The sequence below is a fragment of the Homo sapiens genome, chromosome 2, assembly GCF_000001405.40.
Source record: "Homo sapiens chromosome 2, GRCh38.p14 Primary Assembly".
Lineage (NCBI taxonomy): Eukaryota > Metazoa > Chordata > Mammalia > Primates > Hominidae > Homo > Homo sapiens.
In genome coordinates, this window is record NC_000002.12 from 236,080,497 (window position 1) to 236,107,518 (window position 27,022).

The following is a 27,022-nucleotide window of genomic DNA, read 5'->3' on the forward strand; positions in this document are numbered from 1 at the left end:
CTAGACATCAAGCTCAATGGATGCCACCAAGGGCAGCCACCTGCTGTATCTTGTACACGTTTCATCCATCCAGCTTTTAGCCTCTCAATCCTTCTCTTCCTAATAGGGTAGGTATAAGATTCCCATTGCTGCTGTAACAAATTACCACCCACTTAGTGGTTTAAAGTAACACGGAAGTATTCCATTACAGTTCTGGAGGTCAGAAGTCCAAGCTGGGTCTGCATGGTTTCATTCCTTCTAGAGGCTGTGAGAGAGTCCATGCCCCTGTCTGTTCCAGCTTCTAGAAGCTGCTACTCATCTTGGTGGCCTTGCATCCCCTCTGACCTGTTTCTGTCCTCACATCTTCTGACTCTGATTCTCCTATTTATATGACCCTCTTATAAGGACCCTTGTATATTGGGCCCACCTGGATAATCCAAGATACTCTCCCCTCTCAAGGGCCTTGTCTTAACCGTATCTGCAGTTAGGTTGCCATGTAAGGTCACATAGTCACAGGTCCTGGGGATTAGGACGTTGACATCTTTGGGAGCCATTTCCCTTCTACCACATTATTCTGACCTCTGTAGATACTGTGGCCCATGTCATCAAACCCCCATGACAGTCACAGCCCTGCCTATTTCTTTCCATCCAGACAGGTGGTGCCTGTGGGTACATCTCAGCGTAGGGTGCAGACAGAGTTGTCTGTTGGAAGGAAAACCACATCGAATCGGGAAGGGAGGGTCCTGGCTAGAGTAAGGACAGTGGGCAGGAGGCCGGGGTCCTGTCCTGCCACAACACTGACCACCTAGAACCTCAACTTTCTTCTTTAAAAATAAAAAGAGAGTAACTACACTTGCCATACTGACCCCCCAGGTTGTATGGAAGCTCAGTGGAGAAAATGGCCGGGGTGCGTGTCTGAACCGCGCTGCATTTGGACGGACACTTTGTGTGTCACATGTTAGTAGCTGCAGTGTGTCCTCCACCCGACTGAGAGTCTGTGTATCAAGATAGGGGTAAATCCTTTCTGACCACTTGCAGACAGAAGTCACGCCTCGTGGTCCAAAGCCACCAAGTCATTACTTTTCAAAGCTTTTCCAGTAGAGACACATGACTCCTTCCTTAAAACAACTTACAGTGAAAATATGTGGATGGTTGAAAAAGTAATGTTTCCAGTCTGCTGAAAGTTCTGTGGGTTTTTTTTTTTTTTTTGCAGGGCAATTATCTGTATAAAATACTTTTTTTCTTTTAAGTAGAATCCTATTGCTAATGAAACCATATTTTGAACATGAAAATTGTTACAAAGAAGAAAAAATGTCATTATCCAGAAAAGCTGCAATAGCTCATGCATTTGATGGTCTAAATAGAACATTTTTCTTCTCAGGGGGATGAAAGCGGTCCCCTCCTATTAGCCTATGAAATTATTTTAGAATTGGGTTTTAATCCCTGGAACGAGAAAGGGGGATGGAACCCTAACATAGGTTCCATGCATGGGAAGTCAAACCTGAAATTTAGAGACAGGAAATATAGCACGCCTAGTCACTAATCCAAAAGGAATGTGAAAAAAGAGTTGTTTTAATGTTGGAAAAAGGCAGCATGAAAGGTAAGGCTTCCTTCCTGCCGTTTCCTCTGGTGCCCTTTTCTTTCCCCCGATCACATTTGCTAGATGTCCATTTCTGTAAGTTTTCCCTCTAGAACAAACCTATCATTTTTCACCACGGGATATTTACAGCTTCAATCAGTGCCAAATTCAATTGGCTTCTGATCTCATCGCTGGAAGTTATAGATGCAGATATTATTTGCACTGCGGTTAATTATGGAGCAATCAAACCTTGGCTTTTCCACTGTAATTTCCTCTGCCAGCTAATTTAATTAATCACCCCCAGCTCAGCTCTTCCAGCTGCGACCAGCAGGGTCATTAATTAGGCATGTGGTGGGAGCTCACCCACCAGGTCCTGCTACGGGGCCGCTGCCCATTTGATCTCTCAGGGAGGGAGAGCTTTTCCTAAGCATCGATCCCCTCCAGAAAGGAAGATGGTTCCCAAAAGGCCTATCAGGGGCAAACAGCTCACCTGCAGTGGTGATTGGTTTACAAAATTCACCTAGTTAAAGAAAAGAGGGCCAGGTGCAACGGCTCACGCCTGTAATCCCAACACTTTGGGAGGCCAAGACGGGTGGATCACCTGAGGCCAGGAGTTTGAGACCAGCCTGGCCAACATGGCGAAACCCTGTCTCTACTAAAAATACAAAAATTAGCCTGGCGCGGTGGCAGGCACCTATGATCCCAGCTACTTGGGAGGCTGAGGCAGGAGAATTGCTTGAAACCTGGAGGTGGAGGTTGCAGTGAGCCGAGATTGCACCCATTGCACTCCAGCCTGGAGGACAAGAGCAAAACTCCATCAGCCGGGCACAATGGCTCACGCCTGTAATCCCAGCACTCTGGGAGGCCGAGGTGGCCGGATCACCTGAGGTCAGGAATTCAAGACCAGCCTGACCAACATGGAGAAACCCTGTCTCTACTAAAAATACAAAATTAGGCAGGCGTGGTGGTGCACGCCTGTAATCCCAGCTACTTAGGAGGCTGAGGCAGGAGAATCACTTGAACCTGGGAGGCATAGGTTGCAGTGAGCCGAGATCACGCCATTGCACTCCAGCCTAGGCAACGAGCGAAATTCCATCTCAAAAAAAAAGAAAAAGAAAAGAGGCCTCGCCTTCCATTTAGACTGGCTCATGAACTTGCCAAAGAAAGGGCTGTTGTCAGTCGCCGAGGCTTCGGTCTCAGGTTTTTCAGGTCAGTGTGTGCCTAATAATGCAGATGTCATGTGATGAGCTCGGTTTGTTGCAAGGAAGCGTCGTCCTCCTCACGGGCTCTTTACGTTGACATTGTGGCTTTGGAGGCTGATATTTTCTCTAAAGGAAAGATTAAAGGATTGTTTTCATTTTATTATAAGGAAGAGACATTTTTGGTATAAGCCCATCAAAGTTGGTGCCTAAATGCTGCAACTGATTCTTCTATTATTTTGAAGAGCCTGTTTATTTTCCAGCAGTTACCAGCTTAACTAAGACATTGTCACTGGAATTCCGTATAAATGTGTGCATGCTCACACCCATGCCTACATTAGAAAGAGAAGTACCCCAAATTTGGGAGGCTTTCTTATGATCATTCTTAAATAGTTTATTGTCTTATAATAATGTGGGCTTTTTTGTTTTACTTAATATATAGGAAGATTTTTTTTTAATACCTTAAAAATACTGCACATTAAGTCTGTTTTTTTACAGAAGGATAAATGGATGAACAGGTGTTTTAGGAGCCACAATAAACCATCGCAGAGCAAGGAGTGCCTCTTCTGAGATCCCATTCGATGCTCTGCCCTCAATTAAATGAATCCGAGATAAATGGGCATGTGCGTGTGTATGCACACACACGTGCACACATACACACACAGGCACACATATGCACACACCAAGGTTCTAGATGAGAAGGAACAGAGGGATCCAGCTCAGTAATTAAAGGAATAATAAGGACTCATTGTGTGGCAGGTGGAAGAAAAGGTGCAGGAGGAAGACTCACAAAGTCTGGAGGATTGGCGCTCTCTGTTCAGCCGGGCAGGAAGGCAGGAAGCACCCCTGTCATAAAACCCCTACAGCCTGTAAACACCAAAGTTCCCTCCTGTCTTGGAGTGGGGCTGGGAGGCCCCGGTGGGGAACAGCTGTAATGATGGTTCGCTTTAGTTGTGCCTTCCTGAAGGGCGGGGGGGGGTCTCTGCGGCCACCTTAAACTTAAACAAGTGTATTCAGTCTTGACGGCCAGCCCCGTGACCTGCCAGCATATTAACATTTAAATGCACAGTACATTCATTCATTTCATGCTGTAAGGATCATTCTGGAACGAATGATAAGTAGTGGTTTTTCCCTGACATTCGTACTCTACTTTTGGAAGTGTGGGAGATTGTTGAGCATTTTTAAATAGCCATAATGCAAGGGGCTTCTGTGTATTTCTAGTTCTTAAAGAAAATGCAGGATGCAAACAAAAAATTAATTTTCAGACATTTTCTTTCAGGAAAACCTCTGTTTGGATATAAATCATTGAAACCTTGAAACAAATCTGTCATTCTATTCACAACTCAAATATCAATTTTAAGAATTTTTGCCGGGCACGGTAGCTCATGCCTGTAATCCCAGGACTTTGGGAGGCTGAAGCAGGCAGATCATTTGAGGTCAGGAGTTCAAAACCAGCCTGGCCAACATGGTGAAACCACGTCTCTGCTAATAATACAAAAAATTAGCCAGGCATGGTGGTGGGCGCCTGTAGTCCCAGCTATTCGGGAGGCTGAGGTGGGAGAATCACTTGAACCCGGGAGGCAGAGGTTGCGTTGAGCCAAGATCATGCCATTGCACTGTAATCTGGGCAAAAGAGCGAGACTCCATCTCAAAAAAATAAAATAAAATAAGATTTTTTAGGCCGGGCACGGTGGCTCACGCCTGTAATCCCAGCACTTTGGGAGGCCAAGGTGGATGGATCACAAGCTCAGGAGTTCAAGACCAGCCTGGCCAACATAGTGAAACCCTGTCTCTACTAAAAATACACAAAAAATTAGCCGGGTGTGGTGGTGTGCGCCTGTAATCCCAGCTACTCAGGAGGCTGAGGCAGGAGAATCACGTGAACCCGGGAGGCGGAGGTCGCAGTGAGCCAAGATTGTGCCACTGCACTCCAGCCTGGGCGACAGAACGAGACTCCGTCTCAAAAAAAAAAAAAAAAAAAAAAAAATTTTTATTTACCCAATTCTGTGACTGCCTGAACTGGCCAGGACAAATAGAGAAGGGGTGGTAGGGGGGCAGTGTTAGATTCTTTCTGGAGCACTAGGGTGCAAATCAGAAGCGTCCTTTGTTGCTGCAGCTCTCCCCAGCCGCCTGGAGGATCTGTTTGGGAGGGGAGCACTCTCTAAGGCTAGTTTTGTTCTTGCTCAGATGATCAAATCTCTAATGCATCTCTAGTACCAACCTCACTTCCCAGCCTGAGTTTCCATTTGTCCCCAGTTTCCCCACACAAAGAGCAACAAACACTGTTCCAGCTGGTAGGACCAGCCCATGGATCCCAGAGGCCCAGCATGCTCAGGGCTCCTTCTTTTTTCTCATTTCTCTCCTCCCCATCTCCAGACAGCCTTTACCGTTCATAAAAAGAAATGCAGGCCTAAAGAGGACTGGGGGCTGGAAGAGGGTTAGGCTGAGTCCCATTGCCCAGGGCATGACCAGGGACCATGTGGTGGCCCCCAGGGGCATCATGTGGTTTTCCAGGCCAAGGAGCTGCCTGGCTCCATGGGCCGCCTCAGGATGTGGCCCAGCCGGCTTCCTTTGTGAAGGCAAGCCCCACACAAGGAGCAGGACTCCTGGAGGGGACAATGGCTGTCCATCAGTGATAGCAAATTCCAGCGTCCAGGCCGTGGGTTCATCTGGCTGCCAGGCTGGGCTGATGGCAGCAACGCTGACCACACTCGTCATTTCTCTGCTGTTATCACAGCCTGGGAGCGGGACAGGATCTGTTCCATTGACTGCATTTTTAAAGCTGCCCTGATCTTCCTTTTTGCCCTAATCTTCCTTTTCCTACTGCCCTTTTCCCCCCTCCTCCTGCTTAGAGATACCAGCTCTGACAGTCCGAATGTAAGAAATAATTGGATTCTAAATTCTAATTCATCTGTAAAGTATTCGGTGATTAAATTAGCCTAATAGATATTATTTCTTACATGACTGCGTAATTTTATCCTGATTGGATCTCAGTGGTACTAACGTGCCCCCCAATTTACTATTGACTTGAAATTCTCAGAAGGCGAGACATAACTCTCTGTCTTCTTCAGTCTGTTTTCCCAGGTTAAAAGTTAAACTGATTTATGCTAAAGGAAGATCACCTTACTGCTCAAGTGTAGTTGCACAGTGTATATTGTTCTTTAAGAAGAGCAGTACAAGGAAAATATTATTTTATGTAATTTTAAATCCTCTTTTTCCTCTTTTTCTATTCAGAAACTAAAAGAAATACTGCCCATTTAAAGTCTTTGGACAGCAATTTGATTGCAGGTAACATAGTTTCTCTTTTAAATAGCTGGAAGTCTCATCCAAACAAAACTAACCGTCACTCAGCATAGAGCTGATAAGTGTTGTGGATACATTCCAAAAAATTTTCAACATTCTTAGGATAAAATTTTAGCTGGGCGTCTTTAGCCATTTTTAATAGAGCCGCTTAAATTCTTGGTCAGGAATGAGATAGAAAGGGAACGAAGTCATGGACCCCAGAGATACACAGGAGGGCACTGGCCAGCACTTATTCATCGGCCTTATTTCTTTCTTTCTTTGCATAAATTTAATTTCTTCAAGTATGTGCCTCTCCCCTCCCCCACCCCCCTGCCCTACCTCCCTCCCTCCAAAAATCTGCAAATAAAATTCCCCGCTCCCTCCCTGGTTGAGTAGCTGGAAGCAGCTGGTGGGTTTTGTGTGGCTACTGAACAGTGGGGGAAAAAAGTTTTGGCAAACACTCGGGAAACCCAGGACAGAGGAGGTAGGTAAACTCAGGAAACTGTTTTCATGAGTAAATGAAGGAAACAAAGGCCTCGCAGCAGGAGCAGAAGGGACACACACTCCCTCTGAATAGCTCCCTAAAAACAGAGCTGAAAAGGAAGAAGGCCCATTTGCTTCTGGGAATCCAATAAATTGTTTCAGGAAGTGAAAGTCTGTCCAGGCTAATGGAGCTGTGATTGACAGGCCTTCTCATTATGGAGCCCATCAGGGGACAGGGCATTCCAGTGTTATTTAGGGGTCGAGGTGGGAATGAGAGGAAGCCAGAGCCCGGGGTGGGGGCGGGAGCGGGGGCTAGCTGTGGGTGTTCATTGAAAGAGTCCAGGTCCCCGACAGCCCTGCTCCAAGGACAGACAACCTCGTCTTGCAGGATCATTTACCTTTTATATTATGACCTAGCCACTTCTCATGGCTCTACCACACCATCTTCCCGAGAGAGCCTGTGCCCGCCCCACAGTCCCGGCTGAAATGGCAAATGCGGTGTAGGACTGTGGTGCACACTGCCCATGACGGGCTACTTGGACGGCTCATGCCCACCTCTGACTAGTTTGATGTTCTGAATCAGGCCCCTTGGTTAAGCGTGATAACATGATCACCTGGTGTTTTAAAGCTTTTCTCTGTTTCCATGTGGTGCCGTGAATAGTCTCATAAGCCATGTAAGTGGCCTTATTGGTTAAGTGACAACCGGGGACATACCCATTTTCTTTGTCCATGAAGCACCAAATAAGAAGTTGGCGTCCATTAAACTAGATTGATTATTTAATATCACAAGGCTTTTGAATGGGCTATGGGGAGGAATAGACCAGAGGTCTTTGCCAGGAGGAGACGTTACAGCAGGTCCTCTCTGGTTGGGACCTGCTTAAAGATGTGTAAAGACCTTGAACATCAGCATCTGGCACAGCCAGGGGAGGGACAGGGAGGACGAGAGACCTGCTTGGTATCCTTGGCCCCGGGGTCCAGGTTATTCAGTTTGTTGATGGCTATCTGGCAGGACTCCCTCCTGAGCAAGAAAGACCCTCAGTCTCCACGATGGTTATTTCCAGAAAAGTGGGGACCTTCACCAATGTGCCTTTCATTGTGAACCTTACCCAGCTGGGCTCCAGGACACCTAGGCACATCCCCGTCTCTGGGTCCCCAGCCTTATCATGTGTCTGAGTGTCCTCAGACAGTGGAATCCTTCCTTCACCTTACTGAGAGAGGCCAGCGCTGTTTTCATTTTGGAATTGGCAAAAGGCAAGTTTTCTCCTACAATGCTTTGAAAGGGTTTAATGCACACTGAAGAAACAGCCAGATAGCTCCAGCTCTGCTGGAAAGGGCAAAGACCCATTAAGCATCTGGAGTTTGGGTCCTGGGTTGTCACACTCTGTAATGACCATCTTGGAGGGTAAGACACTTGGCAGTGGGCATGTGAATTGGCTGGCATTTCCAGAGTCATCCTTACTGTTGGGCTATTGGGTGATAGCTAGTGGGTGATAGCTATTACATGAAGAAGATGCCTCTGTGAACTTAAATGTTGGTTCAGTGACTCACAGGCTCCAGGCAGATTCATAGATGCTTTCATGTTTACTGATGCATTTTGTATTCTTAAGCTTCAGGAAGTAGTGTTAATTATTTATCTGGGTTTAACTACACTTTAATTTTTGTAAACTAAGTCCAGAGCGGTCTACATAGTAAAACCATAGATTCTCTTTTGTTTGATTTCTGTGAATTGCAGCAGTTTATGCCACAATTGTAGCCCTGTCCCCATTGTCACGAATCTATGTATCCTTCTGCTTCTATTCACTGTGTTCCAGAACCTATCACGGTGCACTGCAATACCTCATTCCTCACGAGTGCTCAGTTGGTATTTCTTGAAAGAATAGTTGCTTAACAGGGCATTCGATCATGATGGTGATCGTCATAAAGACACACGGGGCTGAAATCAAATTCAAAGAACTCACTTCTACCAAAAGAGAAAGAACTGGTTTGTATAATATGTTTCAAAGTACAGAAGGTAGAAGGTACATCACCACCGTCCATCACGTGAAGGAGTAGAAAAAGTGGGATGCCACAGTTGCGGCAGAGAATATCCAAAAGGAAAGGGTCCAAGTCAGACCGCTCACGTGGGTGGCAGCGTCCAAGTCCAGTTTGTACATTTCTGCATGGATGAGGTCTTTTCAAAGCACATACAGTTGTGTGATTTTTATTTCCCCAAGAAAAAATAAAAAGTTAAAGTCAGTCTAGTCAATTGCTTTAACACAAAGAGCAAACTGACACACAGTTTCCCTGGGCATTGCTACATATTCCTTGCTCTTCCGTAAAGGACACATGTGTCTCTGTGCCTCTCAGTCTCCCAGTTGCAAAGATGCCATCCCAGGTCAAGCTGAGGTCCTTGCAAATGAACTGCATGCTGGAGATAAAGCGCCTACTAGGCTGCCGGGTACTGGCAGAAGAGAGTGAGCGTAGCAACTGGGAGGTGGCCTGATGGCCTGCGCCTGTTGCCGTTGATGAGACCCAAAGTCTGGAACGAATCTGGTTCCATATAGAGTTCATGCTCACCCCGAAGTCCTTCTTTGGCACTGGAGAACAAAGAAGAGTTTGCACAGAAGAAAAGGGAGGTTGTTTAACCAGAAAGGCCCTCTGCAAATTTCTGATTCCTGTACAGTCAGCATTAATATGCTGCTTTTCAGACATCCAAATGGGGGATTGAACTGTGAGAGTGCAGGCAATAAAGAGTGCATTTGTGGAATGATAACCTGACTGGCATCCCTGCCTCTTGAATGGCTGACGAGGTCTAATTGGCATGTAACGCCCTATAAATTTATTAGCATGCCTCATTTCTCATTGGTGGACTTTCTACTGTTAACCACCAAGAAATGACCAATTTTCAGGAGTTAGTCACTCAAGTCGTACTTATAACTAGGTTGGAAAAAAAAAAACTCACACTGCTCCTATTATAAATCAACCTTATGCCTGTACAGCAGCTCCCTGGCTGCAAATGAATCCATCGGATACAGAAGTTTTGAGGTGAGTGGAGTTGCAGGGAGGAGCACGTGTTTACCAGGAAACCCACTGCTCTCCTCACCTTGCCCTGCGCGCCTGAGCCCTTCACAGAGACCGGCCGTGTCCTCACCCCTCTGTCACCATTGTGGGCTCCAGCTGCACAGGCTGGGGATGGGCTGGGTAGAAATGGCAGTTTTGTGGTCGTTCGCACCCAGGACTTTGATGTTCCTACTGATATATTCAACCCTCAGGCGTACCATGCAAAGAGGACATAGCCACCCTCTTATTTCAAGAGCATGATAGAAATATTCAGAAGCAGACATAATTATTTCAATTACTTCTCTCTGGTTTTTGAGACGCACACTCAAGAGTCACAAATTAGAAAATAATATTCACATGTTTCTTCTAATTGGTAACAGATTAGAGGCATTTTATCTTTTTAAATAATTTCCAAATGTGCCCCAAAGAGACTGTGAAGGGAGGGAACAGAGGCATGGAAAAGCAAACGGGCTTTGCCAAGCGAGTGAGAGGCGGGGGTCGGAGGGAGGCCTTCCTCCTGCAGCGTGTTTCCAGTTGTTCGGATTTTTGTGTTATTTTCATCACTTTTGGATATTGAAAGCTAGCAGGGAGGGGGTCTTCCTGGTTATACGGCCCAGCTTGCAAACATAATCCTTCCTTGTTTTTCTTTTGTTGGTGGTGGTTGTGTTTGTTTTGTTTTTTGTTTTGTTTTGTTTTTTTGAGACAGAGTTTGGTTCTTGTTGCCCAGCCTGGAGTGCAGTGGCACGATCTTGGCTCACTGCAACCCCCGCCTCCCAGGTTCAAGCGATTCTCATGCCTCAGCCTCCTGAGTAGCTGGGATTACAGGCATGCGCCACCATACCCGGCTAATTTTGCATTTTTAGTAGGGATGAGGTTTCACCATGTTGGCCAGGCTGGTGTCGACCTCCTGACCTCAGGTGATCTGCCCACCTCGGCCTCCCGAAGTGCTGGGTTGACAGGCGTGTGCCACCGCACCGGCCGTAATCGTTCCTGGTAAGCACATTTCTGAACACATCAATCCGCTGCCTGCATGCCCTGTCCTTGGCCACGTGTTTTCTACACACGTGCATGCGTGTTTGCATATCTGCACGCATTTTTATGTCCAGTGTACTTCCAAAAACAGATTTGAGTCATCTATGCCTGTCTCTCTGTGCAGCAACTTTGGAGGGGTGAAGACGGAGGTCGCTGCTAGTCCAGGTCGCCTGGGGCCCTGCCCTCTGACACAGGGTATTTCAAGTTCCTCTAAATCCTGAGGGTCTCAACTGTTCCTTTTTCATAATGGAATTTGGTTTTATCAAATACTGTTTTTAACATTTAGTTGCCTCTGCTCTGGAAAACAGTTTTACAGTTTCTTATAAAACTAAACGTGCACCTTCCTTATGACCCAGCAGGTGCACTATTAGGCACTTATCCTAGAGAAAGAAAAACCTAGGCCGGGCGCGGTGGCTCACTCCTGTAATCCCAGCACTTTGGGAGGCTGAGGCAGGCAGATAGCTTGAGCCACGAGAGTTCAAGACCTGCCTGGGCAACATAGCAAGATTCCGTCTCTACAAAAAAATACAAAAATTAGCCGAGTGTGGTGGCGTGCACCTTAGTCCCAGCTACTCAGGAGACTGAGGCAGGAGGATGGCTTGAGCCTGGGAGGCAGAGGTTACAGTAAGCTGGGATCATGCCACTGAACTCCAGCCTGGGCAACAGAGCAAGGCTCTGCATAAATAAGTAAATAATAAAACTTAGGTTTACACAAAAACCTGTATGTGAATGTTCTTAGTGGCGTTGTTCGTAAGAGCCCAAAACCAGAAACAACCCAGATGCCCTTCAGTGGGTGAAAAAGTAAACAAGCTGTAGACCATCCACACTGTGGAAAACTACTTGGCAGTGAAAAGGAATGAATTCTTAATACACAACAACAACTTAGGCGAATCTACAGGGAATTACATTGAGTGAAAAAAAGCCTGTCCCAAAAGATTACGTGCTGTAGGATTCCATTTATGTATCACTGTTGATATTACAGAATTACGGAGCTAGAGAACAGGTTAGTGGTTGTCCAGGGTTAGGGATGGAGAGGGTGGGTGAGGTTTTAGAAAGGCAACAAGAGAGACCCTTGACTGGTGCTAGATACAGGAACGTACATGTGACCAAATTGCATTGAACCAATTCCATGGACACATAAATACAAATGACCACAAGGAAAATCGGAAATGTGGACAAGCCAGGTGGGTTGTATCCATATCCTATGGTGATAACATACTACAGTTTTTCAAGATACTGCCTTTGAGGGGAAACCAGGTAAGGGGTACATGAGATCTCTCTGTATTATTTCTTTTTCTTTTTTGTTTGTTTTGTTTTGTTTGTGACAGAGTCTCGCTCTGTCACCCAGGCTGGAGTGTAGTGGTGCAGTCTCGTCTCACTGCAACCTCCGCCTCCCGGGTTCAAGCAATTCTCCTGCCTCAGCCTCCCGAGTAAGCTGGGATTACAGGTGTCCGCCACCGTGCCCAGCTAATTTTTGTATTTTTATTAGAGACGGGGTTTCACCGTGTTAGCCAGGATGGTCTCGATCTCCTGACCTCATGATCCACCCGCCTTGGCCTCCCAAAGTGCTGGGATTACAGGCGTGAGCCACCGCGCCCGGCCGTATTATTTCTTTAAACTCCATGTGAATACACAATTATTTCAAAAAAGCTTACTAAAAAGTTTAAAACAATCAAGCAAAATAAAAGGTGGCTTCCCTTAAAAGAATCAGGGCTCCTTGGAGAAATGGCTCATTCCAGATCTGGTTGAGAAGTAGGGAATGGCCCTGGAGCATCCTGCTGTGCCAGAAAGAAAGCACAGAGCTACCAGGGACCAGGGCAGATGCCGCAGACAGAAACAGGAGCGGCTCCAGGCCTCCCACTGGCCAAATCTGGAACAATTGAAGCATCTAAAAGAATAGTGTTGGTGGCAGTTTATGTGACACATTTAATTTTTAAACATGGGTCCACGACGATACTCCAGAAAGGCAGTGGGGGAGAAGCTCTTCTTTATAAAAAATGCCAACCAGTAAACAGAGAGGATGAGGGAACTGGAAAATCTCTATCCCGCAACCAAAAACGTGATATTTTAATTGGTTCAGTCAAGGATCATCAACTGAAGCTGCACCCCTGGGGGAGAGGAACAAAATATTCCGCCTCAAGGTGTCAGCCCAGGGAAACTGAAGCTGCACCCCTGGGAGGGGAGGAACAAGATATTCCACCTCAAGGTGTCAGCCCAGGGATCACTTGGTCATTGTAAAGGGGGAAGGGACCTGGACAGAGACCTGGTGGCTCCTGCTTTAGCCACAGACTCAGACAGACTCGGTAGTGGAACAACTCACAGTCTGTGCCTCCTGCTGGTGATGCAAGGGAGACGTGGCACCTCTGTAGTAATATTTTGACCCAAATGGAATCGGACAAACACAATTGGGGGCATTTTCCAATAGAAATAGCTTGAAATCCTCAAAATACCAATGTAAAGAAAGACCAAAAAGAAGAGTAGGGTTTGGAAGGGACTCTCACATGGGAGGAGGTATAAGAGGATGACCAAAGGCAACATATATCCTGGATTGGGAGAGAAATTCAGCCCTAGAACGTATTTTTGGATAATTTGGTGAAAACTGAATATGGACCACATATCAGTGGCTGCCTGCCAGTCATAATCATGAAAAACACAATCCCAAACACCATAATCCCAAGTATTGAAATCTCTCAAGTCTGAAATCCCCAAAATCACAATCCCAAAAAATCAAAATCCCAAAAATATAATCCTGGAAAAGATCATTTGAAAAATTACTTAAAAGGTATTTTTTGACATTTTTAAAGGGGGTTTCTCTGAGAAACATATAAAAACACAACAGAACACTTTTTAGAGCACTTTTCACAAATAGGCAATGATAACCTATATTTTTGCAAGCATAAACCCCAGGTGTACTAACAACAGTCATATGGCTGTAACAGGTACAAGCAGACTGTATTCATAGGTCAGAAATATATAAATGCATGTCACTGTGGTTGCTAATTATGGGCACTCAGCTGTATAACACCTGAAATACAGTGACGAACAACTTCAGTCTTTTGACAAGACTGATCAAAAGCTGTGATGGAGCCAGTGTGTGGCACACAACCATAGTCCCAGCTACTCAGAAGGCCACGTCAGGAGGATTGCTCGAGCCCAGGATTTCCAGGTCAGCCTGGGCAACATAATGAGACTCTATATCTTTAAAAAAAAAAAAAAATTGCAAATACGATGGGTCACCATGGCCTATGAAGTTGCCAAAAGAGCTGAGAATTTTTTTTTTTTTTTTAGACAGGGTCTCTGTGGCTCAGGCTGGAGTGCATGGCTCAATCACGGCCCACTGCAACCTCCACCTCCCGGGATCAAGCGATCCTCCCACTTCAGCCTCCTGAGTAGCTGCAAATACAGGCACAGACTACCACGACCATCTAGTTTTTGTATTTTTTGTAGAGACCAGGCTTCACCGTGTTGTTCAGGCTGGTCTTGATCTCCTGGATTCAAGCGATCCTCCCATCTTGACCTCCCAAAGCGCTGGAATTACAGGCATGAGCACTGCGCCCAGTGAGAGCTGGAGAAATTTTATCTTTCACAAACGCAGATGTTCATTTATTGAAGAAATTTCATGAAATTTGTGGACTGTATGTAAGTGCATACAGAATGAATTTCCACATACCCAAAACAATGAAAAAGCCTGGCACAGAAGATGGGAAAATTGATCTGGGCAACAGTGGCTCATGCCTGTAATCCTAAAACTTTCAGAGGCCAAGGCAGGTGGATCACTTGAGTCCAGGAGTTCGAGACCAGCCTAGGCATCACAGCAAGAGACCCCATCTCTACAAAAAAAAAAAAAAAAAAAAAAAAAATTAGCCTGGTGCAGCGGCGCATGCCTGTGGTCCCAGCTACTCTTGAGGATGAGATGGGAGGATCACTTGAGCCCGGGAGGTCCAGGCTGCAGTGAGCCCTGATCAAGCCATTGTACTTTAGCCTTGGTGAGAGTGAGACACTGTCTCAAAAAAGTTGTGGGGGCAGGGCAGGCGTGGTGGTTGACGCCTGTAATTCCAACACTTCGGGAGGCCAAGGCGGGTGGATTGCTTGAGCTCAGGAGTTCGAGACCAGCCTGGGAACTGTGGTGAAACCCCGTCTCTACAAAAAAGTTAAAAATTAGCCAGGCGTGGTTGCATGCACCTGTGGTCCCAGCTACTCGGGAGGCTGAGGTGGGAGGATCACTGGAGCCCAGGAAGTCAAGGCTGCAGTGAGCCATGATCATGCCACTGCATTCCAGCCTGGTTGACAGAGTTAGACCTTGTCTTGGCTGGGCACAGTGGCTCACGTGTGTAATCCCAGCACTTTTGGAGGCTGAGGCTGGAGGATCACTTGAGCACAGGAGTTTGAGACCAGCGTGGGCAACATAGTGAGATGCCATCTCTATAAAATAAAAAAAGATTAAAAAATAGGAAAAAAAGACTCTCTAAAAAAATACAAGAAAAAGGGAAAATCTAACAGGAAATTCTCATGTTGGTAGATATTGACATAGGCAGTGCTTACAGTGTTGTGGTAATGTACTTTGATGGAGTCAAGTTTGCAAAAAATGCATAAAACTAATTAGAATAATGCTGACAATGTAAAATTGTGGGAAAAAACTTTTAAAAATTTTGACATATGAAGAAGTATATTAGTTCAGGGCTAGATTATGGATAGTTGCACAGAGATAGTCCCTAAGAGCTGGCCAACTTCCACGATCATTATATTTTTGAGTTTTGCATCATGGCGCATAGCTGCTTTTTTCCTTTTAGGATGTGCCTCTCCATAGAGAAGAAGTTCACATTCCTTTTCTGTGTGACGCTGCTCTTTTAGAAATTCTTCCGTGATTCAGGGTTCGCCAACATGAGTTATTTCCCATTAAATTTCCCCAGCTTCTGTGCCATGCTTCTTTATTGTTTTGGGTACTTGGAAATCCATTCTGCATTCGCTCAGGTACAGACCTCAGATTTGGTGGAAGCAATACTGATGATGGAACCGCAGTACTATGTATCTTACCCTACCATGTGCATAGCTGTTTTTCATCCAGTAGGTAACTTCACTGGCTTCTTCACACAAATGTGGCTCTTCTCATTAAAAGCTCCTGGAATGTCAGCCAGGCACAGTGGCTCACGCCTGTAATCCCAGCACTTCGGGAGGCCAAGGCGGGGGAATCCCTGAGGTTAGAAGTTCGAGACCAGCCTGGCCAACATAGTGAAACACCCATCTCTACTAAAAATACAAAAATTAGCTGGGCATGGTGGTGTGCACCCATAATCCCAACTACTTGGGAAGCTGAGGCAAGAGAATCCCTTGAACCTGAGAGGCAGAGGTTGCAGTGAGCCAAGATCGCACCACTGCACTCCAGCCTTGGGGACAGAGTGAGCCTCCATCTCAAAAAAAAAAAAGCTTCTGGAATGTCATCAGTTAGATGGAATGCCAGTGCAGACAAATGATGCAGTTTTATTTTTTATTTATTTTTTATTTTTTTGGGACAGAGTCTCGCTCTTGTCACCCAGGCTGGAGTGCAGTGGCATGATCTCATCTCACTGCAACCTCTGCCTCCCCGGTTCAAGTGATTCTTCTGCCTCGGCCTCCTGAGTAGCTGGGATTACAGGTGCCCACCACCACACCCAGCTAATTTTTTGTATTTTATTTTAGTAGAAATGGAGTTTCACCGTGTTGGCCAGGCTGGTCTCGAGCTCCCAACCTCAAGTGATTCACCCCGGCCTCCCAAAGTGCTGGGATTACAGGCGTGAGCCACCCTGCCGGGCCAAATGATGCACTTTTAAACTGAAGTTTCATCCTTGCCGTATCACGTGGCCAATCCATTCATCTGACTTTTTTACCAAATGCATTGAGCTGAATGGAAAAAACAAACTTTATTGGTAATATCCTGAAATTCACTTTCAGAAGCCTTGATGGCACCAATTCCAAATCTGTCCTTATGGTTTGGGATTCAAGTGAAACCTATTTCCTCCTGCAAAGTCCATCAAATCTTAAATAAGTTTTTATAGTAAAGTGCTTTACTTTTTTCAGCATTTGGGATTATGGTGTTTGGAATTGTGTCTTTCAGGATTATGATCCAAACCCATGATAGGTAAAAATGTATTAATTTTAAGTTCTTTGGCTATAATAATGTGGGTCTTCAAAATGTGGGCTTGCAACTTGAGAGACTCACACAGTGGCGTCTGTCTGAGGGAGCAAAGGAGCACCAGATTCTGGATTTTTTAACTGTCATGAAATATACATAATATAAAATTTGTCATCCTAATCTTTTTTTTTTTTTTTTTTTTTTTTTTTTTTTGAGATGGAGTCTTGCTCTGTCGCCAGGCTGGAGTGCAGTGGCGCGACCTTGGCTCACTGCAACCTTTGCCTCCTGGGTTCAAGTGATTCCCCTACCTCAGCCTACTGAGTAGCTGGAACTACAGGCATGTGCCACCACACCCAGCTAAGTTTTTGTATTTTAGTAGAGATGGGGTTTCACCATGTTGGCCAGGCTGGTCTCAGCCAGGCGCAGTGTCTCACGCCTGTAATGCTGGCACTTTGGGAGGCCAAGGTGGGTGGATCACGTGGTCAGGACATCTTAGCCAATTTTAAGTGGGCTGTTCAGTGGTGCTCAGTACATTGACATTGCTGCGCAACCATCACGACCATCCATCTCCAGAACTTTTCCATTACCCCAAACTGAAACTTTTTACCTATTAAATACAAACTCCCACTTCCCCTGGCCCCCACCATTCTACTCTCCTTCTCTATGAAATGACGACTCCCGACTCCCGGCACCTCATGTGAGTGGAATCTTATAGTATGTGTCTTTTGTGCCTGACTTACTTCACTAGCAGAGTGTCCTCAAGGCTCATCATGTCGTAGCAGATATTAGAATTTCTGTCCCTGAATATTAGAATATGCAGCCTTTAAGAAGGCTGAGTACTATTCCATCGTGTGGATAGAGCACATTTTGCTTATCTAAACTTTTGTCAATGAACACTTCTGTTTCTTCCACATTTTAGCTATTGTGAATAATGCTGCTGTGAACGTGGACATACAAATGTCTATTTCAGTCCCTGCTTTCGATTCTTTTGGGTATATACCTAGAAGTGGGATTGCTGGACTATACACTAATTCCACGCTGAACCGTCATACCGGTTTTTCAGATTCTGAACGTTTTATTCATTTAAAATATTGTTGGGCCAGGTGCAGGGGCTCACACCTGTAATCCCAGCACTTTGGGAGGCTGACAGGGAACACATGAGGTCAGTTCAAGACCAGCCTGAGCAACATGATGAAACTTCATCTTTGCTAAAAATAAAAAATCAGCCGGGCATGGTGGTGCACGCCTGTAATCCCAGCTACCAGGGAGGCAGAGACACGAGAATCACTTCAACCCAGGAGGCAGAGGTCCCAGTGAGCCAAGATTGCACCACTGCAATCCAGCCTGGGTGACACAGCAACACTCTATAGCAAAAATAAATTAAATTAAAATGTTGGCTGACTTGATGAAATCTTTTTTTCCTTTTTTTTTTTTTTTTTTTAGAGAAACAGGGTCTTGCTCTGTTGCCCAGGCTGGAGTGCAGTGCCACAAACATAGGTCACTGCCGCTTCCCGCTGCTGGGCTCAAGCGATCCCCCTGCGTCAGCCTCCCCAGTAGCTGGGACTACAGGCGTGCACCACCATACCCAGCTAATTTTTTTTAATTTTTATAGAAACAGGGTCTCATATTGACCAGGCTGATTTCAAACTCTTGGCTTCGAGTGATCTTGCCGTCTTAGCCTCCCCAAGTGCTGGGATGACAGGTGTGAGCCCACCTGGCCCTAAAAGCCCTTTCTAAAGGCCTCCAAACATCCTAGTGCGTAAGGACTAGATCCTTACTTCCTAGAGATGTAAGGACTAGAGGAAGGAGGCTAGTCCTAGGAGCAGACTAGCCCCACCTCCCCAGCGGGGGAGCCAGCAGGTAGGCTGCTGGGCAAGGACTTCACTGCAAGGAGGGACAGGGTGGGCCGGGGGGACTTCCCAGTTATGTCAGGTTTCAAAATATATTTGGGGAATAAAAATAGGGTGCTTGGGGCCAGGTGCGGTGGCTCACGCCTGTAATCCCAGCACTTTGGGAGGCCGAGGGAGGCGGATCATGAGGTCAGGAGATTGAGACTATCCTGACTAACAGGGTGAAACCCCATCTCTACTAAAAAAATACAAAAAAATTAGCTGGGCGTGGTGGCGAGCGCCTGTAGTCCCAGCTGCTCGGGAGGCTGAGGCAGGAGAATGGCATGAACCCAGGAGGAGGAGGTTGCGGTGAGCCGAGATCACACCACTGCACTCCAGCCTGGGCGACAGAGCGAGACTCCGCCTCAAAAAAAAAAAGAAAAGAAATATGGTGCTTGGTTCTTAATTTTGCAGCATTCAGGACATTAAATAAGTCATTTGCTGTCACCATCCTTTCAAAAAAAGGACATTTTATCATAGGGAGGCCGTAACATCAGAATTGCCCTACAGATTCAAAACTGGCTTTCTGAGAACCTCACTATATGGTTTTTTATTGTTTCTCAGAGGATTTGGTGATATCTTTGCCACCAAGTGACACTTGAAAGCAGCTGGGCTCTCCAGGATCAGCTAGAGAATTTGAGGCCCATTTCAATTTTTATCAAGAATTTGAGGCTGGGCGCAGTGGCTCACACCTGTAAGCCCAGCACTGTGGGAGGCTGAGACAGGTGGATCACCTGAGGTCAGGAGTTCGAGACCAGCTTAACCAATATGGTGAAACCCCGTCTCTACTAAAAATACAAAAATTACCCAAGCATGGTGGCATGTGCCTGTAATCCCAGCTACCCAGGAGGCTAAGACAGGAGAATTGGTTGAACCCGGGAGGCAGAGGTTCCAGTGAGCCGAGATCAGGCCACTGCACTCCAGCCTGAGCAATAGAGCAAGACTCCATCTCAAAAAACAATAAAAAAGAATCTCAAGATGGTAAGAGCAGAACCGAGCATGGGCCCCTTCTGAGCACTGGGCCTTTGCAACCGTAGAGATCCACACCCATGCAGCCAGCGTTGGACTAGGAGACCCCTGAGGCCCCCTCCGTGCCCCTCTTCTAAGGTTCCTTTCTCACCAAGAAGCTCAGCAGAGAGTTTTGATTTTGCATTATCAAAGTCAGTGACATTGAGCAAGTTAAACTCTGTGTCGATGGTAGAAAATAAAACATCTGACCAGTTTCTGCCTCCTGATCCCATTAGTGATAGGTTTGGTGATTTTAATGAAAGAATTTCACTTAGCTTGTTAAATAATAATGCTTTCCTTACTCTGGAGAATTAATTTATGTATTCATGATGAATCATTCTCATCAGCTTCCCAGCTACACAGCCAAACTTAGGGGGGAAAAACACCTAGTGGGTGTATAGATTTGACTCTGATATTTTTATTGTTTTTCAGGTTAAGATTAGTTGAGGCCGGATGCAGTGGCTCACACCTGCAATCCCAGCACTTTGGGTGGCCGAGGTGGGCAGATCAGTTGAGATCAGGAGTTCAAGATCAGCCTGCCCAACATGGTGAAACCTCGTCTCTACTAAAAATACAAAAAAGATTAGCCAGACGTGGTGTGGTGCACACCCATTGTCCCAACTACTTGGGAGGCTGAGGCAGGAGAATCGCTTAAGCCCAGGAAGCGGAGGCTGCAGTGAGCCGAGATCGTGTCACTGCACTCCACCCTGGGCAACACAGTAAGATTCCCTCTCAAGAAAAAAAAAAAAAAAAATTAGTTGAGAAAGAAAACCCAACTGTTGTGCATTTGTTGGATTTTCTCTGGAAACGCCATCCAGTCTGTAATAAAATTTCAGTTGTCATTACCCTGGATGGAATTCATCTTGGCTGGAGTGAGTGGCTTCATGCAGGGCAACCCCACTGCAAAGAATGTGAGCATCAGCTAGGCTGACACAGGGGTCCGCAGACCCAGGCCCCTCATTCCATCAGTTTCTTTCAGCATGTTTCCATGTTTTCATATTTTGAAAAAAGTCAAAATCCAAATTGATTTTCAATGTGTTTCCCTTTGGTTATTCCCCACTCCCATGCCTGTCCTCTCTTAAAATCTCTGTTGTTGGTACTGTTTGTTTTTGGCTGTTGGAACTGTTGTGATCCCCCACCACAAGCAGATTAAAAGGTATACCACATTAAGAAGACTCCTTATTGTTCCAAAGCAATGGTCCTATGTCTTTAAACAATAATATTACCACAGGCCGCAGTTCTTAAAGCCACTTGGCAGTTTTTATTGGAAGCCTACTTGGAGTTCTCTGCAGCTTTTTCTGAATGTGTCGCCGTGTCATAGCCTGCGACCTTCTCTTTCTCAGGTTTGACAGCCACTTAGCCAGCAAATCCCTGAGAAGCCACCGGCCTGAACTGGGCCCTCTGCAGTCACTCCGGCCTGTCCCCGCCTCTTCCGTGTGAGAAGAGCCTTGGCTGTTCCTCTCCCTGGTGTTTAAAGGGCGTCGGTGCACGTACAGCGAGGGCTTACATCCACTTTACGGGATCCGGAGCGGAGGAAAAGGGCCATTTCTCTTCCCTTATCTGTTTATGATGCGATATGTTCCAAAGCCGATCACATCAGCCGCTGTTATGGTGAACGGAATTCACTGTGATGGCGGCTGCACCAGCAGAGCCGCCGTGGGCTTCATGCCACGTTACGCGGAGTCTAGGACGGCCTCACCCCGCTGGCTCGGGCTCCCTCTCACTGGGTACACATTTATCGGGATTTATGCTTTAAAACAGTAGTTCACATTTTTTCTAATGGTGAAGTACAGAAACTTCCATTCTGTGTGTGACTAGCATGGCTTAGCTATGTTTCTGTGCAAACATACTCACACACAGTTTCCAAATGAAGTCACAAACTTCCCTTATAAAACTTCCTTTGAGGCTGGGCCCGGTGGCTCATGCCTATAATCCCAGCAATTTGGGAGGCTGAGGCAGGCAGATCTCTTGAGGCCAGGATTTCGTGACTAGCCTGGCCAACATGGTGAAACCCCGTCTCTACTAAAAATACAAAAATTAGGCCGGGCGCGGTGGCTCACGCCTGTAATCCCAGCACTTTGGGAGGCCAAGGCGGGCGGATCACAAGGTCAGGAGATCGAGACCATCCTGGCTAACACGGTGAAACCCTGTTTCTACTAAAAATACAAAAAATTAGCCGGGCGTGGTGGCGGGTGCCTGTGGTCCGAGCCACTCAGGAGGCAGAGGCAAGGAGAATGGCGTGAACCCGGGAGGCAGAGCTTGCATTGAGGCGAGATCATGCCACTGCACTCCAGCCTGGGCGACAGAGCGAGACTCCATCTCAAAAAAAAAAAAAAAAAAAAGTTAGCTGGGTGTGGTGGCTCATGCCTGTAATCCCAGCTACTCAGGAGACTGAGGCAGGAGAATCACTTGAACCCGGGATGCAGAGGTTGCAGTGAGCTGAGATCGCGTCATTGCACTCCAGCCTGGGCGACAGAGTGAGAGACTGTTAAAAAAAAAAAAAAAAGAAAGAAAGAAAGAAAACTTCCTTTGAGCAGAATAATAAAGGTGCCTGTGTTAAATGCCGAGTGGGTAAAACACGTCTGCAAGTGGAGAATGGCAGGAAGGGGCTCAGAGACACAATGAGACTTTGTGAGTTAAGGGGGTGTCACTGGCGATTTTTCCTGTAAACGTCCCGTGTTTTGTTGTGTTGTTTTACAACAGATTAGAAAATGGTGGGGAAATACTAAAAATAAAAATATGTCCGGCTGCTTCTGGAACATTCTGGATGTTTTGCCTTTCGCTAATAGTGTAACTTTTTTTTCAAAAGTCATTGTCTTAAAAGACTTCAAAATTGCTTTCTGTTCTCCCACCGCAAGCCCCCGCCCCACCTCTTGGCTCTGCCTATCCCCTCCCCTCCGGGGTTTCTGCCCACCCCCCACCCCCAGGCCTGGCCTCCTGGGTGCCACATCTCCAGGGCCCGACCCATTAATGGCCTGCATTCTGACCGTGACTCCCAGAAGACTCAGCCCCCTGCACAGCGCCTCCTCCCTGCTCCAGACAGCACATGTGTCGTGGAGGGGTCTCCCTCACCAAAACCAGCACCTCTGTCCCGTTCCATCCTCCGGCCTCACCTCCGCCCACTGCCTCCCAGAAAAAGGAAAAATCTCTACACCGAGGTCACTGGTCAGTCACCCCGGGTGCCAAGCTCTGCTGTTTCTAAAGGCATGGTCCCACCCATTGGTCACAAGCCCTGAGCACCCAGTTTGGGGCATGTTAGCCCCCAAGGGGGCAGCTGGGCTGGCTGGTCCTCATTTTGTTCACAGCCTGTGCAGTCTGACCCTGCTGGGCCACTCCCCGCCCCCCACCTCAGCACAGGCTCCATCTTTTTCTCCTGGGCCCCTTGTTTGTTTGTCTTTCTTTTTTCTTTTCTTTTCTTTTCTTTTTTTTCTTTCTTTTCTCTTTTTCCTTTCTTTCCTTTCTTTCTTTCTTTTCTTCTTTTTTTTCCCCCTGAGACAGAGTCTTGCTGTGTTGTCCAGAGCCGGAGTGCAATGGCGTGGTCTCGGCTCACAGTAACCTCCACCTCCTGGGTTCAAGCAGTTCTCCTGCCTCAGCCTCCCAAGTAGCTGGGATTATAGGCACCCACCACCACACCTGGCTAAATTTTTGTATTTAGTAGAGTTGGGGTTTCACCATGTTGGTCAGGCTGGTCTCGAACTCCTGACCTCGTGGTCTGCCAACCTCGGCCTCCCAAAGTGCTGAGATTACAGGCGTGAGCGACATGCCCAGCCTCTCCTGGGCCCCTTCTAGGCACCCCGCCATCCTGTCTGGCTCCTGTCCCCACCCTGCCCTGTGCGTTTACCAAGGGCTGACCCAGGCATTGAGCCACATGCACAACCGCCTTACGTCCTTACTATGTCCCTGAGATGTGGAGGGTTTTATCCCCTTTTTGCGGGTAGGGAAATTGAATATTCAAACCCAGGCCTGCAGCAATGTGAAACCTTAGGTACTTCCCACTTGCATTTAGGTGGGGGGCCTTGGGCAGTGGGTCTGCCCCAGGAGCCCCGCAAGGCGGGAGGCCTGTGTAAAGGCCTGCAGGAAGAGGCTGAGGGCCCGCTCCAGCAGCCGGGGCGCTGGTAGGGCCAGGCCTGTTGGCTGCTGTGAGAGATACGCCACCAGGCCAGGCTGACATGGGCAGTTCCAGTTTCCCAAGGCAGTCCAGCCTCCAGCACTCCATCCTGTTCCATCCCCAGTGCCCTCTGACTGCACGGGGCTGAGAAGTCCCCCAGCGGTGCTCCTAGACAGGTGGAGACCTCAATCCTGCAGCCTCATCAAATGACTCCCCAACAGGGGTGGATCCTGCCCCTCGACCAGCACCTGTGCTGTCTGCCCCTCACAAAATCCTTGTCCCTTCTCAGATTCCTTGGGGGCACAGGGCTGTGAGGGTCAGGACCACCATCAGAATCCCTTACAAAGCCACAGCCCTCTGGCCTCTTAGAGAATCCAACTTGGGTTACAAAGACAAGCGTGCACAGGCCAGGCGCGGTGGCTCATGCCTGTAATGCCAGCACTTTGGGAGGCCAAGGTGGGTGGATCACAAGGGCAGGAGGTCAAGTCTAGCCTGGCCAACATGGTGAAACCCCGTCTCTACCAAAAATACAAAAATTAGCTGGGCATGGTGATGCGTGCCTGTAATCCCAGCTACTCGGGAGGCTGAGGCAGGCAGGAGAATCGCTTGAACCGGGACCCGGGAGGCGGAGGTAGCAGTGAGCCCAAGTTCATGCCACTGCACTGCAGCCTGGGCTACAGAGCGAGACTCTGTCTCAAGGAAAAAAAAAAGGACTAGCGTGCACAGAGCCCTCGAGGTACCAGAGCAGAGCTGTGGATGCCCGTCTAAGCCTGTGCCCATAGCTCTGACTGGATTTCACCAACTCCACTCTGGCAGGTTAGCATCAGGAGAGACACTGTCCTGGCTGCTGGGTGGGAAGATAAAGCTGAGTTCCTTCTGTCTGTCTCGGTGAGAGAAGGCACGGCCCTCACCCAGGGCAGCAGAGATCAGGGCTGACTTTCCAAGCCAGCAAGACATGCATTCAGGCTACCTACAAGGAAAAGCAGTTAGATTCGAGCAAAGTGGTGAATTGGTCTGAATGGAAAAATCCAAAACATCCCACTTTAAGAACCCTGCATGCACACAGTCTTGCGTCAACTTCAGTTTTAACACGATAGCCAGGTAAGGGGGAAAGATGGGCGGAGCGGGGGACCAAGGACAGAGAGGAAGACAAAGGCTCTGTGAGCTGTGCCTGCTGTAACAAAATACACAACAGAAAGTATTCCTCACACTTCTGAGGAATGGGAAGTCCAAGGTCAAGGTGTTGGCTGATTCATTTCTGGTGAGGGGCCTCTTCCTGGCTTATAGACAGATGCCTCTTGCAGTGTCCTCATGTGGAGGAGAGAGGAGAGGGGCATCTCTCGTGTCTTTTTTTTTTTTTTTTTTTTTTTGAGACACAGTCTCGCTCTGTCACCCAGGCTGCAGTGCAGTGGCGTGAACTCGGCTCACTGCAACCTCCGCCTCCCGGGTTCACACCATTCTCCCGCGTTCACGCCATTCTCCCGCGTTCACGCCATTCTCCCACCTCAGCCTCCCGAGTAGCTGGGACTACAGGCGCCCGCCACCATGCCCGGCTGATTTTGTTTTTGTATTTTTAGTAGAGACGGGGTTTCACCATGTTAGCCAGGGTGGTCTCGATCTCCTGACCTCATGATCCACCCTCCTCGGCCTCCCAAAGTGCTGGGATTACAGGCGTGAGCCATCGTGCCCGGCCCCTCTTGTGCCTCTTCTTATAAGAGTGAGAATCCCATTCATGGGAGTCTACTCTCCTGACCTAATCACCTCCCAGAGGTCCTGTCACCAAACACCATCACACAGGGGGTTAGGGCTTCAGCGACTGACTTTCCGGAGCACACACACACCAGTGCTCCTGTTGCCCCTCCCAGGGACACCTTGCATTGCAGCAAATCACTGTTTTCTGGCTGCCCTTGGCTGGCTGGCTGGCAGCCTTTGGGGCCCTAGGCATCAGGATGTCTGCTCTGTTTGTTTGCCAATTTCAAAGCACATACCGGAATCAGTGTGGCTGGAGCTGGAGAGGACCTTGGTTTTAGAACTTTGATTGAAGCCTAAGGACCGTTGGTCCATCTGCAGAGCAGCAGTGACCAAGCCTCTCTTGGCCTTTCCTAGCATGTCATCCAAGCCTGAGTGGGAAGCGGATGTCCATATGCAGCTCACCAGAGCCGGCCTAAGGAGGGTTGATGTGCAGGCACTGCGGCAGCGCACAGGGCTCAGGACCCCTGGGCGGGCACCTGTGTGCCACCCGGGCTGTCGTGTGCGTGACTCGGCTAGCCCCTGCCCTCTGTGTGATGGGCACCACACTTCTTCCAGCCTTGTGGCATCCCAAGTAGGCAGTGAAAAGCTTCGAGAAGGGTGGGCTCTGGGGGCCATGCTGGGATTCCAGGAACCCGAGAATTCACGTAAGCCAATTCTTTCATTCTGGGCTCCCATGAATGCATTTGGAGAAGGTGGCTGGAGTCACGCACAGCCAGCTGGTGGGCAGGGCTCTCTGCAGGCCATGGGCTCATTTTCCCACCTGCGTAAGTCACGGTGCTGGTGGTAGCAGGATGGGGTCTGCAGGTCTCGCAGGAGTAGGTCAAGAGGACCAGGCAAGGTCTGGCTTCCTGATGGGGACCCAGGAGAGAGAAGCCAAGAACCCCTGCTGCCTCCTTACCCAACTGCATATCACAGAGTGTGCTGGGCCCCGTGGAGGTGGCTGCAGTCTACAAGGGGGTGGCTGCCCTGGCCTATGGTGCATTTTACAGATGTGTCAACGTGGGAAGCTGGGCCAAGGCCATCCTGTGCGGAGGCTCAATGAGAGAGCACCCTGGGTAGGGTCTGGACCTGCTGTGTGGGCCTCTTGCTGGCAGGCAGCTCTCTGTTCCCGAGGTTGCAGCAGCTGCTTTCTGTCCTCTCTTTACCCGTTCCCCCCCGCCCCACCCCCGCCAGCGGATTCTCCTGCGGAACCTCAAACTTCAGAGGCAGCAGGCCTTGAATCATTGAGCCTCCAGAGGGAAAACTGAAGCCTGGGAGAGGGTGGCTGCCCAGGGCCCCACAGCCAACCATGTCCTTGCCCAGAGAGGCCTGGGTCCCTCCTCCTCTGTGCTGGGTGCTTCCTGAGTGCTTGGCACATCTAGACACCAAACAGACCCTTGGGTCTGAGCTGACTGGGTTCACTAGCTAGCCTCACGCATCCTCCCTGCCGGGCTGCTGTGGGCTGCTGTCCTGGTCCCACATCTCCTTTTTGCGCGCTTTCATGATTCCTCAGACAGTCTCCATAGGTTGCCTCAAGACTCTGGAAGAATGAGGTTGCATATGCACTGTGACTTGTATCCAGGA

General features: G+C 48.0%; 1 protein-coding gene across 4 annotated transcripts in view, besides 4 other annotated features; it reads left to right on the forward strand.

The window, feature by feature from the left end:
• Positions 1-27,022, forward strand: part of AGAP1 (ArfGAP with GTPase domain, ankyrin repeat and PH domain 1) — a 637,751-nt gene that overhangs the window by 586,454 nt on the left and 24,275 nt on the right. The gene's annotated exons all lie outside the window — the stretch shown is intronic.
• Positions 2,297-2,796: an enhancer, noted in NCBI's record as "H3K4me1 hESC enhancer chr2:236991437-236991936 (GRCh37/hg19 assembly coordinates)". NCBI's record gives its function as "activates a minimal SCP1, AML or CMV promoter by ChIP-STARR-seq in primed H9 embryonic stem cells {active_cell/tissue: H9 hESC(primed)}" and the evidence as "EXISTENCE:reporter gene assay evidence [ECO:0000049][PMID:30033119]".
• Positions 6,275-6,916: an enhancer, noted in NCBI's record as "OCT4-NANOG-H3K27ac-H3K4me1 hESC enhancer chr2:236995415-236996056 (GRCh37/hg19 assembly coordinates)". NCBI's record gives its function as "activates a minimal SCP1, AML or CMV promoter by ChIP-STARR-seq in naive H9 embryonic stem cells {active_cell/tissue: H9 hESC(naive)}" and the evidence as "EXISTENCE:reporter gene assay evidence [ECO:0000049][PMID:30033119]".
• Positions 25,457-25,980: an enhancer, noted in NCBI's record as "H3K4me1 hESC enhancer chr2:237014597-237015120 (GRCh37/hg19 assembly coordinates)". NCBI's record gives its function as "activates a minimal SCP1, AML or CMV promoter by ChIP-STARR-seq in naive H9 embryonic stem cells {active_cell/tissue: H9 hESC(naive)}" and the evidence as "EXISTENCE:reporter gene assay evidence [ECO:0000049][PMID:30033119]".
• Positions 25,981-26,504: an enhancer, noted in NCBI's record as "H3K4me1 hESC enhancer chr2:237015121-237015644 (GRCh37/hg19 assembly coordinates)". NCBI's record gives its function as "activates a minimal SCP1, AML or CMV promoter by ChIP-STARR-seq in naive H9 embryonic stem cells {active_cell/tissue: H9 hESC(naive)}" and the evidence as "EXISTENCE:reporter gene assay evidence [ECO:0000049][PMID:30033119]".